This window comes from Homo sapiens, chromosome 2, assembly GCF_000001405.40.
Source record: "Homo sapiens chromosome 2, GRCh38.p14 Primary Assembly".
Classification (NCBI taxonomy): Eukaryota; Metazoa; Chordata; class Mammalia; order Primates; family Hominidae; genus Homo; species Homo sapiens.
In genome coordinates, this window is record NC_000002.12 from 112,879,830 (window position 1) to 112,898,540 (window position 18,711).

Sequence of the window (18,711 nt, forward strand, 5' to 3'; positions counted from 1 at the left end):
TGCTGCTATTTCAAGGCTGGGCCTCAGTGCAAGCTTGTGGTTTCTTGCCCACCTGTGATGTCCTCCCACTAATGAAGGGGCTCTCCATCCTCTGTCTGCCTCTAGCAAGTGGAGGCTCTGGGCCCTGGGCAAGACACAGGGGGAAATGCCATCTGTTATCCAAATATATTTCAATGGGACAGGAAAGGGCTCTTTATGTCATCTGACCCCCTTCCCCATTTACTGGCCTTGTACCCAAAGCTGGACGTGCTGTGGTGATGGGGAGTCAAGAGGGGGAAGATTCAGGGGAGAGCCCTGCCAAGGGGGCCCAAACAACAGGCTGACCAGAGCAATGCCTGGCCTTGACTCATGGCCCATGTGTTATATCCTGGGTGTGTTGAATCATCTCTGTTTAATCTTATAAAAAAAAACCCTTTCCTGTGACAGAAAGAGCCCTGGGTTTGTTATTTTCAGTTTATGCAAAGTGGATAAGAGGGGTGAGGAGTTCATGTTGATTGTCCAGGAGGAAAAACCGAGGCAGACACCAGAGCTGGGGCTCATTCCCACAGTTGAGGGCGCATCACCCTAGTCTTTAGGCAGAGAGTGCTTCCCATCATGGCCTGGGCCCCAGCTCCCCTCACATGCTCGGTGCTGCTGGGGAGGCTTGGGAAGGGGCGTGGAGGCATACCGTCTGATTTGGGGAGCTTGTGTCCTGTTGAGAGAGAGGACATGCACACACCCGCCTGCACAGCAAGAACTTCCAAACCTGGCTGCTTAACGTACTCCAGGGATATTTCAAGTGAGAAGTGCAGGAATATGGAAGCAGGGACTCAAGCAGGAACCATGGATGTTGGGGCGTCCATGAAGGGGTAGCCCTGACTAAAGGAAGATTTAAGGAAAAGCACCACTCTTTGTATCCAAAATAAGGCCAGTGCCTGTTGTTTCTTATGTTATTACTGGAGAAAAGGTCAGGGCTGGGCTCTCGGGCTCCCCACGTGTGAGGTTCTTGGGACTGAAGCCTTTGCCTCCAACAGTCTCTTGGGGTCAGAGGCTGTTTTGTTCTTGTTTCCTCAGTTAAGCTGCAGTGGTAACAGGCCGACACACAGGAAATCATAAGTCAGGAGGGCCACTGCCACGCAGGAAAGACCCATCTGAACTGCTGCAAAAGGCGAGTTGGAAATCATTTACTTAATCGTGACTTAAATGGCCAGACAGGAAGGCTCGTTTATCCAAGGAAAGATGAAGGCTTATGGGTTCTGTGTGTGTGTGTGTGTGTTGCTAAAATAGAAGTTTCAGCAATCAAAACATACACAATAAATATTTTATTTGTTTGATTCATTTAGATGTTTCTGGGGCTAGTTTTGAACATTAGGAAATGGAATCATTGGATCATTTGAATTTACCAAAAATGTGGATATTTCTAAAGTAGCAGAAATAAAGGACTTCAGTATTGGAAGGGGCCTCAGTTGCTCCCTCTCTATAGATGGGGAAGGGCATCAAGACAGATGGCGTGACTTGCCCAGAACCACTCAGCCAGGCACAGAGGGAAGCTGGGTCTGACTCACCACCACCCACAGCTGGTCTCTGCATTTTGTAATGCTTTGCTACTGACAAAGTCTTTTGTGTGCCTTATCTCTTTTGATCCATGCATGTTACAGCTGTGGATAACTAGTCCTTGATTCCTCCTCAAAACACCACAAGCATCCTATTGTGTTTAGATGAGCCTGGTCTTTCCCTTCACCCATGTCCAACATGTGAATGTACTGCACCATGCACATTAAAGGCCTCCCTGGACCATTACTAGTGAAGTGAGGCAGACAATAGCAGCTACTGTGGATCACACATCTTCTGTGTGACAAGGACACTGTCAGCCATTTCATATTTATTATTTTATTTTCTCCTTACGACATCACTAAGTACTGGTGATTATTATCCTTCTCTCTTTGCAGGGATATAAACCAGGCTTAGAGGAATTAAGTAACTTGCCCAGGTTCCTGTAAACAGGAAGGACAGCAAGTCCTCACTAAATGTCACTGATAGGTTCTTGGACACTGACTTTAAGTGAAACAACATGCAGCAGGTCCTCGAATAATGTCATTTTGTTCAATGTTATTCGTTTTCTTATATGTCATTTTGTTTAAAATTGTGGTTCCCAAGAACCTATTGACGACATTAATAGGCTCTTAGACGCCAGTGCTATTTCTAAGTCAGAAGTACAAAAATGTGAAGTAGAGACTTGATAAGGGACTGTGGGTGTTGGGGCATCATCCATGTATTTAATCCAATATATTCAAAATGTTACTTACACAGTCAATATAAAAATTGTTAATGAGATATTTTACATTTTTTATTATGTGCCATGTCTTTGAAATTTGGTATGTGTTTTACACTTTACACTGCAATTCTGACAAGCCAATTTCAAGTGTTCAACAGCCACATGTGGCAAGTGGTCACCATATAGGGCAGTGCCACTCTATAACAAAAGAAAGGGGAAAATATTTCTGGAAGGATGGTTGTTGGGAGTTGATGCCATAGTCAGCTCTTAAGGAGCTGAGCTTTCAATATTCCTGGCATGGGATATTGAAATATCAGCAAGAAATTAAATGACATAGTAGTCATTATGCCTAAATTATTGTTATTTTTTGATTGAAAAAAGTTGAATATTTCAAATATCAAGGTAGTAGTGAGATATAATAAAGAGAGAGTCAGTTCTAAGTATAGAATTGCTGATTCAGTTAAGCTCTGTTCTCCAACATTTGGGCCACATTGAAGAGACCATGTAGCTGCTTTCAGCCTCGGTTTCCTCCTTTGCAAAATGGGGATTACACTACCTGCCTCACAGAGATGTAAACTTATGACATGTTATCATGATTGCCAGGGCCCACCTGTTTTCTTTTAAACATTGAAATCACTGTGCCTGAAACAGGGATTTCCCTGCCCTTTGTGCAAGCTCCAGAAACAGGAGTCAGCCTGAGTCCCGCAGCTAAGAACGTGGATTCTGGTCATTTTCTCATAGCGAACACACTTCACAGGTCCTTCAAGGGAGTACATTTTCCTATAACTCACCTTAATCTCAGTTGAAGCCTCGTTTCTTATTTTGCACTGTGGCCAAAAACTAAATCTCATTTCTTTCACGTAAACTTCAGCAATTCAATAATAGTACAGTCATTTTATGTTTCAACTGAACCAAGTCAGGGTTCCACTCCTGCCTCCCCTTTCTGCTCTGAGGACATCCATGAAGTGGAGGGGGTCTATGTAGCCTGGAGCTATTGGTGAGGGGCGATGGGTCCGTGGTGGTCTTGGGGAACTGCGGGGCTGTGTCTGGCTGGTCTGGTGTCTGGTGATTGGCCTTGTTCCACGCGGTTCACGCTGCAGGACAGTTCGTGTCCTTCTTGTCCTAATGATCAGCTTTTAGGCTCACGGGCCTGTCTCTGCTGAGATATGGAATAGGACAGCCTCTGGATCTTCTTTAAACTCTCCTGGGGCCACAGGGGACTCTGTTTGTGTCTGTGCCCACATAGGATGATTCTGCCCAGACCTTTGCTGCCATTTCTTGCTGTTCTGCTGTTTTTAGTCTCTGGAGGGCTTGCAGTTTCCTTGGGGTCCCTGTGGAAGCAAAGCAAAGTCCTCTCCACGCTCAGATGTCTAAACGTATCTGGGTTTTATCGTCCACCCATCCCAGAGCTCAGTCTAGAGGAGGGGGCAGCCTTCGGGTTCTCTCCTTCCTCCCAGAGCCTCTTCCTTTGCACCAGGGCAGCCTCTTCCTATCTGTTGGAAAGGGCTGTCTGGTTCTTGAATATAGAGTTGCAGGTTTGAGGGGTGTAGGCTGAGGTAAGGCAAACTATCACATGGAATAAAAATTACCCTGTGTCAAGGAACAACCAGAGCTGGACAGTTTTTAAATGTGAAAACCAATTTTATTCAGGACTATGGCGAGAGGTGAAGTAAGACCTCAGTATAGAACTGGGCTCAATTCCAAATGCAGCATGGGCAAATGGGAATGTATAGCCTAGGAGCAGGGTGGGAACCTGTGGATGAAGAATTACTAAAAGGGCATATCAGGGGTGAGGGGGCGTCCTGGCTACACCCACTAACTACTGTTGCTGAAGAAAGGCCTGGTGACATCACTGGGGAATGGTGGGGGATGAAGAATCCAATCAGATGGATATTGAGGATAAGGGGATCTTGATAAACTGGCTTAGGAGGGTTTTTGCTAAAACTGGTTTTCATAGGTAAGTCCACAGATAGGTCTTGGAGAAAGTTCAGGGACCTACGGTTTGTTCGGGCAGATGCTTTGTCATCTGTCACACTGGCACTGTCACCTGGCTTTCCTTTAGTCCCTCCCCCCCTTTTTTTTTTCTGGAGTAGTTTTGGGAGACCAGAGGAGCAGGGAGTTAGGGAGAGTAGTCAGAAAAGGCCAGAGAAAATAAGGAGGTGTCTGTAGGGAAAATCCTTAAATCCTCTAATTAAATTAATTTAATTTATTTATCTGGGACAAGGTCTCACTCTGTTGCCCAGGCTGAAGTGCAGTGGTGTGATCTCGGCTCACTGCAGCCTCGACCTCAGGGCTCAAGCAGTCTTGCCACCTCAGCCTCCTGAGTAGCTGGGGCTCACAGGTGTGCACTACCATGCCCGGCTAATTTTTGGGTTTTTTTTTTTTTTTTTTTTTTTTTTTGTAGAGATGAGGTTTCGCCATGTTGCCCAGGCTTGGTCTCGAACTCCTAAGTGATCCATCCACGTCGACCTCCCAAAGTGCTGAGATTACAGGCATGAGCCACTGTGCCCGGCCTAAATTCTCCAATTTTTAAATGCTTCCCTGTTCCCTGTTCCAGATTTGGGATATTGACTGCTGTTAAATCAGCGATTTCTCCCTGTGGAGAGGTAGCCAATAGGAAGCAACAAGAGTGAGGAGTCCTTATATCGAAATAGAGGGTAAGAGAAGAGACAGATGTTATCTTGGCAGTGATTTAAGAACAGCGAGTCTGTAAGCAAAGCAAAGCAAGGCTCCCAGGTGCTGAGAAACAATGGCTTTCTGGGGAAGCGTCTGTGTTCAGAACCTTAAGTTGGAAACATCTCTGAAGATGTTTGCCATGAAGGTTTTCTTCTGAAGTTGAGTCTTTCATCACTAGGTAGGCGTGTTTTGGAGGCTCTATCAAACAGATCCTGTGTTTATTAGGAAGCTGTGGTTCATAAAGCCCCATGCTAATTTTGCAGGTAGCAGGGTGGCCCTGGCCTGACCCGGGGACAGAGTGGCTGTCCTCCCTCCAGGCAGGAAACTCTCTCCTGCCACCTAGTGGCTGCATACCCACATTTCAAGGGAGCTTCTGGGTGGTGAGTTTACCAGACTATGGTCTGAGGTAGAGTTAAGCAAAACAAAACTAAACTGCATAAAGAAACAGAAAGAAAATCAGGTGTTATAAAAACAATTTGGCATTTGTTTGTGTTTCAGCTCCGTGTCGATTTATTGCTTCCACAAATAGTGCCGATATGCACCAGGCACTGTTGTAAAACTGAAAATATGTTTTTGGATGTGCCCAGTCTGTGAGTATTAAACGATGGTTGATTTGAAATTTGCTATGATTCATATTTCTGGGGGTAAGATGCAGGATTTCTTTGGGGGGCCTAGGATGTGGCATTCCAGAATTCTCAAAGAATCAACCCTGGTGGGACCAGGAAGAGCTGAGCTGAGGCCTCTCTGCTCATGTGTACTTACTGGAGATCATGGAGACAGGTGAGCCTGAGTGCACGTCTCACCAAAGCCACAGCAGAGGGGGAGGAGGCGGAAAGAGAGCTCTCTCCATTTCTGAGAAGTTAATGGTAACAATGGCATACATACCTACTTTACAGTTGAAATTGGAAACCACAGCATTAAGTGTTTCCAATGAAATTTGGCAATTTGGGAGTTTTCTGAGCTGCATTGGATGTGGTTTTGCATGCTGTTAGGATGAGCAAGAGATGATGGAGAACATCTTCCTTTTGAGCTTCCTCTTGGACGTGGGTCACTCCCACTCATGGAATTAGAAAGCTTAGACCTAGACTTGAATCTCACCTTCTCAAGGTGCTCCCGGGCAAATCACTTAAGATCCATCTTCTTCTCCTCCTGCTCCTTCTCCTCCTTCTGAGTTTTTTTTTTTCTTTCCAAAATTCAAATGACACGGTACTGGTAGAAGAAAAGGTCCAAGTCTGCTTTTACAGCTCCCCTCATCCCCAAATGTACTCCGACCCCAAGATGACCATGTTATTATTTGATTGGCATCCTTCTAGTTTCAACTCATTTCTTTGCATGTATATGCACGTACATATACACTATTTTATTTTGCCAGGGGTCACGGTTAGCTGCATTAATTTCTTTTAAAATAATCTTTATTTAGTTATAGTTTACATTTAACAACATACTCATTTAAGTGTATAGCTTGATAAGTCTTCACTGTAAACCAAAAATAAAATTCTAAGCCCCCCCAACCATCTGAATGGACCCCTCTTCTTGGCCAAGAGCATTCCAAAGTTAACCTGAAAAAACTAGTTCAGGTCATGATGGAAGGGAAGGTTGGACATGCCCCAGTATACCCTTCTCCCTTTTGGAATTCAGGAAAAGCTGACCAGCATTAACATCAACACAGACCTTATGTCTGATAGGAAACTTTGACAATCTATTCCCTCTGAAGCTTGCTACCCGGAGGCTTCATCTACAAGATAAAACCTTGGTCTCCACAACCGCTTATCATAACCCAGACATTCCTTTCTGTTGAGAATAATCTACCTTGTAACCTGGAAGCTCCCTGCTTCAAGTTCCCTCACCTTTCCAGATTGAACCAATGTAAACCTTACATGCATTGATTGATGTATTATGTCTCCCTAAGATGAATAAAAGCAAGCTGTATGTTGACTGCCTTCAGCACAGGTTGTCAGGACCTCCTGAGGCTGGGTCACGGATGCATCCTTAACCTTGGCAAAATAAACTGTCTAGATTGACTGAGACCTATCTCAGATACTGTTGGGTTCAAATATATAACTTATGAAACTAATACACAAATCAAGTCATAGAATATTTCCATCACTCCTCATCTACCCCCAAATTTCCTTATGCGTCTTTGCAGTCAACCTCCCACCCCATCCCCAGGCAACTGCAGATCTACTTTTTGTCTCTGCACCTTCAACTGACCCTTTCTGTGATTTCATATGAATGGAATCATGCGCTGAGCAGTCTTTTGTGTCTGGCTTCTTTTGCTCAGCATAATGTTTTTGAGGTTTGTCCATGTTTTTGTGTTTGTCAATGGTTAATTTCTCTCCATTGCAGAGTAGTTTTCTATTGTACATGTGTACCACAATTTGTATATCCATTCCATTGCTGATGGACATTTGATTTGTTTCCAGATTTTGGCAATTATGAATAGAGCTACCATGAACACCCAGGTACAAGTCTTTGTGTGGACTTATGTTTTCATTTCTCTTGGAATGGAACTGTCATATCAATAAGTATATGTTTAACTTTGTAAGAAACTGACAACAAATTATCTGCGATGGTTATGCCATTTTGTTTTTCTACCAGCAATACACGAGCATTTCAGTTGCTCCACAACTTTGCCAAAACTTGTTTTCTTTAATTTGGACATTTAAGTGGTGTACAGAGGCATCTCATTGTGGTTCTAGTTTTCTTTGCCCTGATGACCAATGGTGTTGAACATCTTTTCATGTGCTTTTTGACCATTTACATATCCTCTTTTGTGAAGTATCTGTTCAAATATTTTTGCCCATTTAAAACATTTGGGGGTTTGTCTTATTATTGTGTTGGGAGAGTTCCATATTTATTTATTTATTGAGATGGAGTCTCACTCTGTTGCCCAGGCTAGAGTGCAGTGGCGTGATCTTGGCTCACTGCAACCTCCACTTCCTGGGTTCAAGCAATTCTCCTGCCTTAGCCTCCTGAGTAGCTGGGATTACAGGCATGTGCCACCACACTGGCTAAGTTTTTGTATTTTTAGTAGAGATGGGGTTTCATCATGTTGGCCAGACTGGTCGCAAATTCCTGACCTCAAGCAATCCACCTGCCTCGGCCCTACAAAGTGCTGGGATTACAAGCATGAGCCACTGTGCCTGGCCCATATTTATTTTTTATTCTTTATTTTGTATACAAGTTCTTGGTCAGATACAATAATACCTGGTCAGATGAGATAATGAGTTGGAAAATGCTTTGCAAATGGGGGAGAATAATTTAAATGTTATTTATTTATTAAGAGCAGAGGCCCTTCCTGTTGCGGTCACAGAAGCCGTTTGCTTCTTCTGCCTTTTATAAACCAGCAGAGTTGAGCTACACAGGCTGTCTGTGTTGGCTGCTATTAGTTAATCAGAGAGTTTTTTTTTTCTTGCCTTGTCATTCTAATTTGTGACACATAATTAGCCACAATATGTGTTTTCAGTTGTGACACTGGCCTGGGAAACCAAGGGATGTTTAGAGTGGATTTCCTTGATTTTGCAATAATTGTGTGTTTTTCTGCATCTTCTGTTAAACACAAATTCATGGAAGCAAAACATGGAAGCAAAGTACCCTGGACATCCCCCCTTCTTTATGAAATTGATTTCTCTTAAATGTAATGTTTGCTTGTTCCCTTACTTTAAAAGCAATTTAAGAGTTTATTGAGAAAGTGAGCCCTGGAAACATAGATGCATAGAGAGAAAATTCTACCACCCTCAGGTCCCTATTGTCTTCTCTCATAAAGTGTAGTTTCAGGGCCTTTTAGAAGTTTCTTTTCTGCTCTGATTTGCATGTTTGTGAGTGTTGCTATTTTAAGTATTTGGATTTGGTCTGCAAATCCTATGAGAGATGGCAACAGAGTAGGGATCTCAAAGCCTGCAGGTTGTATTAAGTCCAGCAGGGCCTTGTATTTACAACAGAGGGTCCTTGAAGACATTCCATATATTATGCTAGGGGAGTGGCCAAGCAAACTTTAATGTGTCCCTATGGTGGGATATTTGGGGTTAATACCTGCCCTTCTCTTAATTTCTTTTTCTTTTCTTTTTTTCTTTTTCTTTCTTTTTTTTTTTGAAATGTAGTCTTGCTTTGTCACCCAGGCTGGATTGGAGTGCAGTGGTATGATCTCAGCTCACTGCAACCTCCACCTCCTGGGTTCAAGCAATTCTCCTGCCTCAGCCTCCCAAGTAGCTGGGACTATAGGCACACACCACCATGCCTGGCTAGTTTTTTTTTTTTTTTTTTTTTTTTTTTTTTGAGACGGAGTCTCGCTCTGTCGCCCAGGCGGGACTGCGGACTGCAGTGGCGCAATCTCGGCTCACTGCAAGCTCCGCTTCCCGGGTTCACGCCATTCTCCTGCCTCAGCCTCCCGAGTAGCTGGGACTACAGGCGCCCGCCACCGCGCCCGGCTAATTTTTTTTGTATTTTTAGTAGAGACGGGGTTTCACCTTGTTAGCCAGGATGGTCTCGATCTCCTGACCTCATGATCCACCCGCCTCGGCCTCCCAAAGTGCTGGGATTACAGACGTGAGCCACCGCGCCCGGCCTAGTTTTTTGTATTTTAGTAGAAACAGGGTTTCACCGTGTTGCCCAGGCTGGTCTGAAACTCCTGAGCTCAGGCAATCCACCTGCCTTGGCCTCCCAAAGTGCTGGGATTATAGGCATGAGCTGCTGCATGCAGCTCTCTTAATTTCTTTATTTGATTTTTATTTTTCACTTCAACAGTCTGATAAAAAATGATAATCTAATGATCTTAGTCCATTTCGTGCTTCTAGAACAGAATACCTGAGACTGGGTAATTTATAATAAACAGAAATTTGTTTGGCTTACAGTTCTGGAGGCTGGAAAGTCCAAGATCAAGGAGCTGCATCTGGTGAGGGCCTTCTTGCTGTGTCATCCCATAGCAGAAGGTGGAAAGGCAGGAAAGCATGCACAAGAGGGCTGTGGGGAGGAGGCAGAGATCATCCTTTTATCAGGAATCTACTCTCATGATAACAGTATTAATTCATTTATGAGGGCAGAACCCTTATGACCTAATCACCTTTTAAAGGTCCCATCTCTCAACTCTGTTGCATTGGGGATCAAGTTTCCAACACATCACATTTTGGGGGACACATTTAAGCCATAACACAAGTGAACTTAATATGACAGCTAATTATTTCTAAGTAAGCACACCTAGCAAATTTTTGTTTGTTTTACATTTTTATGATTGCAGCCAGTGTTGGACTCTCTACTCTAATTCCACATTCCTCCCAGGTTTGTTCTAATTCCATTTCTGTCTTGTATTGTTTTCCGCCTACTCTTTTGTCTTGGAGCAGATGGCTTATTCCAGTTTATATGTAATAAAAGATCTTTACCAGCTGCCTTGATTCTACCTACTTAAAACCTCAGGAAGCCATCTGCTTCTCTCTGGGCCCTGCACCTGCCCCAGTGTTCAGGTGTTCCTCATTTTCCTTGGCTCACATCTTAGTCTCCTAACTGGTCTCACAGCCCTGCCCTTCTCTGCAAGGACCCATCTTCCACATTGTCATGAATGGCAACATTACAAAAGGAAAAACTCAAAGCAATGCTGCCATGCCTAAGGACCCTAACCTCAAGGGACTATGTGACATCTGTGTCCAGAATGCTCTGTGACAGCTCCTCAGCCCCATCTCCAGTCCAACCTGGCACTGAGGCCCAGTTAGATGGAACCACTGTGTGTGCTCAGAACAGGCTGGCTTCTCCCTTGCCCTTGGGTATTTTCTCTGCCTAACAAGCTCTCCTCGATCCCTCCCCTTTGCTGGCTTTCCCTAGATGTGAATGTCACAGTAACAAAGCCATGGTAAATGGGTTCCCCGTCATGTCTCCAGCACCCAGCTTAGCACCTGGTATGTACTAAATGAAGACCCTCTGGATGAAGGAACTGTAAGCCATTTGAGGTCCAGGTGGCTGTCCTGTAAATGATCTTAAGCACTTTCCCCTCCCACAGGTAGGGTCTAGAGATAGTTTTCTGTGGGTCTTTGCCCAGTTGTCAAGAGACCCAGAGGCCACAGAACCTCAGCACAATAGTGGTAACTGTGCCATTCAGCTTTCTGCGTCCTCAGACTCCAGCCTTCTTGCTGGATCTCTTGGATCTTGGAGTTTCTCTCTTCTTTCTCTTTCCTCCCACATGCAGGAAGCTCAGGCCTGCACACCCGACAGTTGGCAGTGGGAATTGTGTATTACCTGGTTCCTTTTACCTCACATGAAGCTGACTTTCCCAGCTAAGTCTTTACTCGGTGGGGGCAGGTTATCAGAGGTCCTGGTTATCGAAGTAATATTAAGGCCTTTGTAGAGAATTGGAAAGCATGGAAAAATGGAAGAAAATCATTACCAACTCCGCCTTTCAAAGGCAACCACTCTTCACACATTTCTAGCCTGTCGTCTGACTTCTGTCTGCTAGCCATTTTAACAGGAATCCCCAGATTACAACCATGTCTTTACATTTTAACATTTCTTAGGTAAAAATAGTCTTCACTTAGGTGATCCTCCTAAAGGGAATTATAAAATAATATTTTAAAAGGAAGATTGGAAGATGACAAAATAATCATTTTTATTCATATTGGAATTGGGCCTTGAGGCAATCTACTGTGTGGAGGTGAGATCACACCTAAGGGATTAAGAAAATGAGGAGGCTGATGCTTGGAAAGAGGCCAGCTGGTGGTAGGTTTTCCAAGTGAAACCAAGGGATGAGTCAGCAGACAAGCAGCCGGCAAGTGTCCTCCACACCTGGACGCCTGGGTGGAGGTGAGAGAGTGGAACACTTTGAGAGCTCCCTGGCTAGGAAGAAAAGAGAAAGCTTTTCCCAACAGCCAGTGGAGCAGGAAGGGTTGGCCTGCACAGTGCTATGATGAAATAGCAACCTGTAGAAACTTCTAGATTTCCCACAGTGACTTTCTGCACTGTCACTAGAGTGCAGTGCGGGACTCTTCTGGCCACACGGTCCACTTTGGGTCTCCCTAACCAAGCGTGTGGTCTCCCCACCCCTGGGATCTTAGATTGTGTCACCATCCTACCTGTATTCAATCTATCGGTCAATAGTTATTGAGCACCTACCACATGCTACCCACTGTATGTAGTGCAGGGTGCTCAGCAGAGGATTTGCAGGTTAAATCCTACTACATATCTCTTCTCCCCTCTTGGGTTCCCTACAGAGGAAGATGTACGTAGCTAACTCTATATAACAAAGGGCTAACTTTGTACATGACTGGACAAGCATCCAATAGCATCCCAGTACAGGGCTCCTCTGGTATCTGGGTTGGGTGGGGCCCACAGTAGGGCTCAAGGCTGGAGAAGAGTGTCACGCTACTGTCCTCCCATCCAATACTAGATGGTTGGGTGTGTGAAACAGACTCTGCGTTTACCTGCACAGCCAGCCATGTGGATGACGGTTGGAACTGGGAATGTGTGGTGGATGTTTGGGTCTCCTTCTAGAAGGCTCTGACCAGGCACCTTTATTACTCGGGGGCAGGAGAAAGAAAGAGGGCAAGAGGATGGCTGGGCCTTCTCTCACGAGGGAGAGGTTGGCCAGATCTGTCCTAAGAAGCACGTCCTTCCTCTGAGTGCTGCAATAAGGGAAAGGGAGCCTACTCCACTGGGGCTCAGGAAGTGAGCATGGACCTGGGCACAGCCACGGGCTATCAGCACACCACCAGCCTGCTCCCTGGCCCAAGGCACCCCAGCACATGTCAACACAGCAGATTAGCAACTTCTCCACCTCTGCAGGGTTGGAAAGCAGGCATGGAGGCATAGAGGAGGCATGGAGAGCACTGAGGGGCAGAAAGAGGATAGCCTTCCTTGGAGAAGAGACATTTAAGCTGGGCCCTGAAGGATGCGTTAAGGATGAGACCGCAGAAGGGCGGTGCTGAGGTCTCAGCGTAGGCCTGTCTGGTTGGAAGCTAGGTCTTAGCCATTTGGTGGAGGTTTAGGGACTGGGATTCAGCCTCTGGGGGAGGACACTAAGAGTAAGCATGTAGGTTAGGATTCTAGTCCAGCAAATCAGGACCATAGAACAGGAGTCACAGTGGGAGAGCTGTAGGTTCTTAGGAAACCACAACAGACATACTTACACAGACAAGGAAACACAGTTGGACTACCAGCACTTCATTCATCAAACATCATTGAGCATCTAATGTGTATCAGGTTATGTCACAGCCACTGGGGTGACAAGATAGACAAGGCTCCTGTTCACATGCAGCTTATGTTCTTGTGGTGGAGACAGGCAACAGACCAGTCACAAAAAATAAGTTAGGGAAATACTGGGATGGTAACTCGCTCTGTGAAGAAACTGTTACGTGATTGGGGGAGGGTGGCAGGTATGGAACCTGGAGAGGTGGGGCAGGGACAGTCTCTGAGGGGTGCTGATGAGAAGCAGCTAGGCATGAGAAGATCTGGGGAGGAGCCAGGCAGAGACCGTAGCATGTGCAAAGTCCCTGAGCTATCGGTGGAATCTAAGAAGGAACCTGGGGAAGCCCTTGAGTGTGGCAGGGTGAGTGCAAGACTGAGAGTGGAGGGCATGAGGTCAGAGGCGTAGATGGGGCCTTGTCAGGGTGAGGAATTTTAACTAAGATGGGGGCCATTGAATTGTTTAGGCTGGGGAATGACAAGATCTAATTGACACTGTAGAAGGGCCATTTTATTCTGGGCAGGGTTGAGGCAGGGACTCTGTTAGGTCCACAGGAGAAGAGATGGTGGCTTGGAGCTGGGTGGTAGCAGAGGGCAAGGAGGGAAGTGAACAGATTTGGAATATTCTTGGGGGTGGGGCCAACAGGACTGGTTAATGGCTCCCGAGAAGGAAGACTAGAAAGGAAACAGGTTTGGGCAGGAGAAAGGCAAAAGTTTGGCTTTGGCCATTTGAGGAAGAGATGCTAAGTGACAGTGTCAACTCGGCAGTTAGGTAAGTCTCAATTCCATGGGAGAGGTAAGGACTAAAGAGGCAAATGTAGAAGGCATTAGTTAATAGGCGGTTTGAAGCCATAGGACTGGATGAGATGTCCTGAGTATGCCAGTGCCTGGGCCTCAGCTGAGGGCAGTTAAGACCACTCCCAAATCCTACTGGCTGGTGGGGAGTGGAGAGGGCAGGGCAGTGTTCAGCTTACAGGCTGTCAGTCTTTCATAACCATGTGTGGGTGTAGCTGGCTCGGGCTGAGACTGGCACTGCCCCCATGTCTTCTGCATTCCTCCCTGCTTATCTCCACTCAACATGGTTCCTGGAAGGCCCCATTTTCTTCATACCCCACCAACTGGCCACACCAGTTGGGCTGCAAAGGCCAGAGCATAAGTCTAAATGGTCTTTGTTTACACATGGCCTCCTTGGTTACCATGTCTTGGTGTCTGCCCTCTGTCTTGGCTGGCTGATGGAGTAAAAACCCATATTTACATTACATGGCATCCTCTTCAGTTCCTTTAGGACCCTTCATCTCAAGAATTGCAAGAGATTTTAATAGTCATTCAATCTTCATTTTGAAGATGAAAAATTGAGGACCAGAGAAGAGAAGCGACTTGGCCAAGGTTTCAAAGAAAAGTCAGTAGGAATTGTGAATTCCTGGAGGCCAGGGGCCATTAGTGCTGTTCTTGATCAGTATATGGAGATGTGAGTTTCAACAGTAACAGGGACATTTTAAAATTAAAATGATTTAACCTTTAGAAAATGTCCTATTTTGTAATAATGATGGATTCACAGGAAGGTACAAAGAAATGTCCAGAGAGTTCCTGAGCCCCCTTCAGCCAGCTTCTTCCAATGTTAACATCTTGCATTATTATAGTACAACATCAAAACTGGGAAATCGATATTGGTACTGTCCAGATAGCTTACTCAGATTTTGCCAGTTATACTTCCACTCATTTGTGTGTGTGTGTGTGTGTGTGTGTGTGTGTGTGTGTGTGTGTGTGTAGCTCTATGCAATTTTATGTGTGTAGCTTCATGTAACCACCACAATCACAATACTTAACTATGCCCTCATCACAAGACTCTCTCTTGCTATGCTTTACAGCTGTATCCTCTTCATCTCCAAACCCTAAGCCCACCTCACCGCCTCCACCATCTCTAAACCCTGGCAACCACTATTCTGTTCTCCATCTCTGTAATTAATTGTGTTAATTAATGTTATACAAATGGAATCATGAAGTATGTGTCCTTTGAGATTGGCTTGTTAATTTTTCACTCAGCACAATTTCCTTGAGTTTAATCCAACTTGTGTGTAGCAGTAATTCTTTCCTTATTATTGCTGAGTAGTATTCCATGGTATGGATGTATCACAGTGTGTTTAATCCTTTGCCCATTGAAGGACATTTGGATAGTTTCCAGGTTTTGGCTATTATGAATAAAGTGACCATAAAACATTTGTGTACAGATTTTTGTGTGATCATAAATCTTCATTTCTCTGGGATATATGCCCTGTAATGAAATTGCTGGGTTGTGTGGTAGATTGATTTTTAGTTTTAAAAGGAACTGCCAAATAATTTTCCACAGTGGCTATGCCATTTTACATTTCTACCAGCAATGTATGAGTGTTTCTCCACATCTTCACTAACAGTTGGTGTCATCACTATTTTTTCATAAACCATTCTTATATGTGTGTAGCGATACATTATTGTGGTTTTAATATGCATTTTTCTAATGGCTAGTGATGCTGAGTATCTTTTCAAGTGTTTTATTTGCTAATCTATAAGGCCCCTTTCGTAAAATGTTCACTCATTTTCTAATTAGATATTTTTTTTAATGTTGAGTTTTGAGAGTTCTTTAGATATTTTAGATACAAGTCCATTGTCAAATATGTGATTTACAAATATTTTCTCTCAATCTGTAATTTAGTTTTCATCCTCTTAACAGGGTCTTTTGGAGAGCAAATAATTTGATTTTCATAAGGTTCAAATTATTAATTTTTTCTTGTATAGTTCACACTTCTAGTGTTAAGTCTAAAAACTGTGCCTTGTCATAGGTACCAAAGGTTTTCTCCAGTTTTTTTTCTAGAAGTTTAGAGTTTCATGTTTTACATTGGAGTCCATGATCCATTGTTAATTAATTTTTGTATATAGGTAGATGTTTAGGTTTAGGGTTTTTTAAAAAAAAATTACATATGTTTAATTGCTCCAGTTCCCTTTCATTGAAAAGGGTATCCTTCCTCCATTGAATTGCCTTTGTCAGAAATTAATTGGACATATTTGTGTGAGTCTATTTCTGGGCTCTTTATCATGTTACTTTTAAAAAATGCATCAGTTCCTCCACCAATACCTCATTGTCTTGATTATTGCAGTTATATAGTAAGCCTTAGCATTAGGAAAAGTGTTTTTCCTGCTTTATTCTTTTTCAAAAAATTTTTGGATATTCTAGGGCCTTTACATATAAATTTTAAAATAACTTTGTCTATGTCTAACCGAAAGCCTTATGAAGATTTTGATAAGAATTGCATTATGCCTATACATTAATTTAAAAAGAACTGATGTCTTTATTCAGTTGATTCTTCTAATCTATGAACATAGCATCTCTCTCAAAGCATTTAGTCCTTCTTTAATTTCTGTCATTAATTTTTTAAAATTTTCATCCTAAAGATTCTGTATATGTTTTGTTGAATTTATGCTTAAGCATTTCACTTTCTTGGTAACAATTATAAATGATTTTGTGTTTTTTATTCCACTAGTTCATTTTCAGTGTGTAGAAAAGCAATGAATTTTTGTGTGTTGATCTTTGTTCCTACATCTTGCAACATTATTGAACTCATTTATTAGTTCTAGGAGGTTTTTTCATTTTTCTTGTAGATACCTTGAGATTTTCTATATAGACAGTCATGTTGTCTGCAAACAGGCACAGTTTTATTTCTTCCTTTTCAATCTATATGCCTTTTTTTTTTTTTGCCTTATTGCAGTGGCTAGAACTTCTAGCACTATGTCAAATAGCATTGGTGAAAGCAGACATCCTTGTTCCTTGTCTTAGAGGAACATTTGGTCTTTAATCTTGATTTAAAAAATTCCTTGCACTAAGTTACCGTGTTTTGCGGGAGGGAGAGGTGGGGTGAGGTGGGGGATTCCCCCTTATGTTTACAAGCTGGGATTTTTTTTTTCCTGTGTCTAATTATTTTCCTCATTGGCTTGAAAAATCTGATAAAACATTTTAGGACTGTGTATAAAATAGAATTAGCCAAGTGCAATGTCTTTATTCAGAAGAAATTTCATGGACGTTGTGCCTACTCTCTTGGCTTCCTGGCTTCATGGCTTTCCAGATCCCACAGTAAGCTCTGGATAGTAGAAGTTATAGTAAGACTGACTTCTAAATAAATGAAGTGACTTTAACCTTACTGATATGGCTTAAAGAAAAGGAGTGGCCTTTAAGATCCATGAACTTCTCAAACAAAAGTGATAACGTTATCTCCATGCATATATAATACTAAATATAATGCAACTGAGAGAAGTAGGCTGTGGTAAGAAAGGAGACCCAAGTGCCATCTGAAGGCAGCACTTACCACTCTGCTTCATCCCACCGAGGAAACAAAGCATGAGTATTGCCAGATTTTCTTCTGTTTCAAGAAAAGCCAGAAATCCAGGTTTTTGCGTGAAATGTCCTGATTTTAATGTTGGGAACTAATTTATATTTTGAAATAACATTGTGTGGGACAAGTGAACTTGTATGTGGAACTGCTTTCTCCCAGTGGCGACCAGTTTGGACCGTTGATACTCAGCAAGTTCAGCCAAGTGCGCCTTGTCATTGTCAGTCATCAAGGTGATGTGTGATTGGTCAAGCAATTAGTTTTGCTCAGCATCTCGTGTGTTTTCAAAGGACCTGAGGGTTCATTTGCCCATGCAGATCTTGTAGTCCTGTTTATTCTATTAATTTATCTTGCAAATCTATAATGTTTTATTTTAAGCAGCGAGAGCCGTGGCAGCCTTTGGTCTGGACCCTTTCTAATGATCATTTAGTATCAGGCTATGTGGGAGTTGATTGTTTTGCATTGCCTGAAAGCCAACAGTATCACTCCTCCTCTAGGTGTGGCAGAGATGTGAGAGAGGGAGACTGACAGTCTGTGGGTGTGTATGCAGTGTTGGGGGAAGCGAGGCACAGGGGACAATACTGTGGTGTAGAAAACTAGTCTAAGGTAGCATCAGGAAGTTCATGAAGCCAAAATGATTTTCATAACAGCACAAGACATTATTTGTTTTTGCCTCCCTCTCATTTTTTTTTTTTTTTGAGACAGAGTCTTGCTCTGTCATCCATGCTCGTGTGCAGTGGTGCAATCTCGGCTCACTGCAACCTCCACCTCCAGGGTTCAAGCAATTCTCATGCCTCAGCCTCCTGAGTAGCTGATTACAGGTCTGCACCACCCCGCCGGCTAGTTTTTGTATTTTTAGTAGAGATGGGGTTTTGTAATGTTGGCCAGGCTGCCCTGTCATTTTTTTTTTACTAGTGTCCAGTGGAGTTTTTTAGGGGCTACATAACATGATACTGTCATTAATCTAATGGCTAATGAAAGGGATATGTATATGTTTTTGTGTTTAAAACAAACTTCTTTGGGGTCCTCAATAATTTTTAAGAGTATAAAGGGGTCCTGAGATCAAAGAGTTTGAGTTCTGCTGGACTGGGACAGTGGTTGTCAACCCAGATTGTACATTAGGGTCATCTGGGAAGCTTTAAAATAGTACTGATGCCCAACCTTACCGCAAACCAATTAAGCCAGAATCTCTGTGGATGAGAAGTCTTCATTGTCATCATCACCATGACCATCATCATTGTCACCGTCACTACACCATTATCA

General features: G+C 43.5%; 1 long non-coding RNA gene across 1 annotated transcript, besides 2 other annotated features; it reads right to left on the reverse strand.

Moving 5' to 3' along the window:
- Window positions 394–473: an enhancer, noted in NCBI's record as "active region_16406". NCBI's record gives its function as "activates an Ori minimal core promoter by ATAC-STARR-seq in GM12878 lymphoblastoid cells {active_cell/tissue: GM12878}" and the evidence as "EXISTENCE:reporter gene assay evidence [ECO:0000049][PMID:35858748]".
- Window positions 1,427–1,496: an enhancer, noted in NCBI's record as "active region_16407". NCBI's record gives its function as "activates an Ori minimal core promoter by ATAC-STARR-seq in GM12878 lymphoblastoid cells {active_cell/tissue: GM12878}" and the evidence as "EXISTENCE:reporter gene assay evidence [ECO:0000049][PMID:35858748]".
- Window positions 9,796–18,703, reverse strand: LOC105373563 (uncharacterized). Its single transcript, XR_001739645.2, has 3 exons — window positions 18,615–18,703; window positions 11,153–11,253; window positions 9,796–9,889 (listed from the first exon to the last, which is right to left on the reverse strand). It is a non-coding gene; the product is annotated as an uncharacterized LOC105373563 (long non-coding RNA).
- Between the last annotated feature and the right edge of the window lie 8 nt (window positions 18,704–18,711).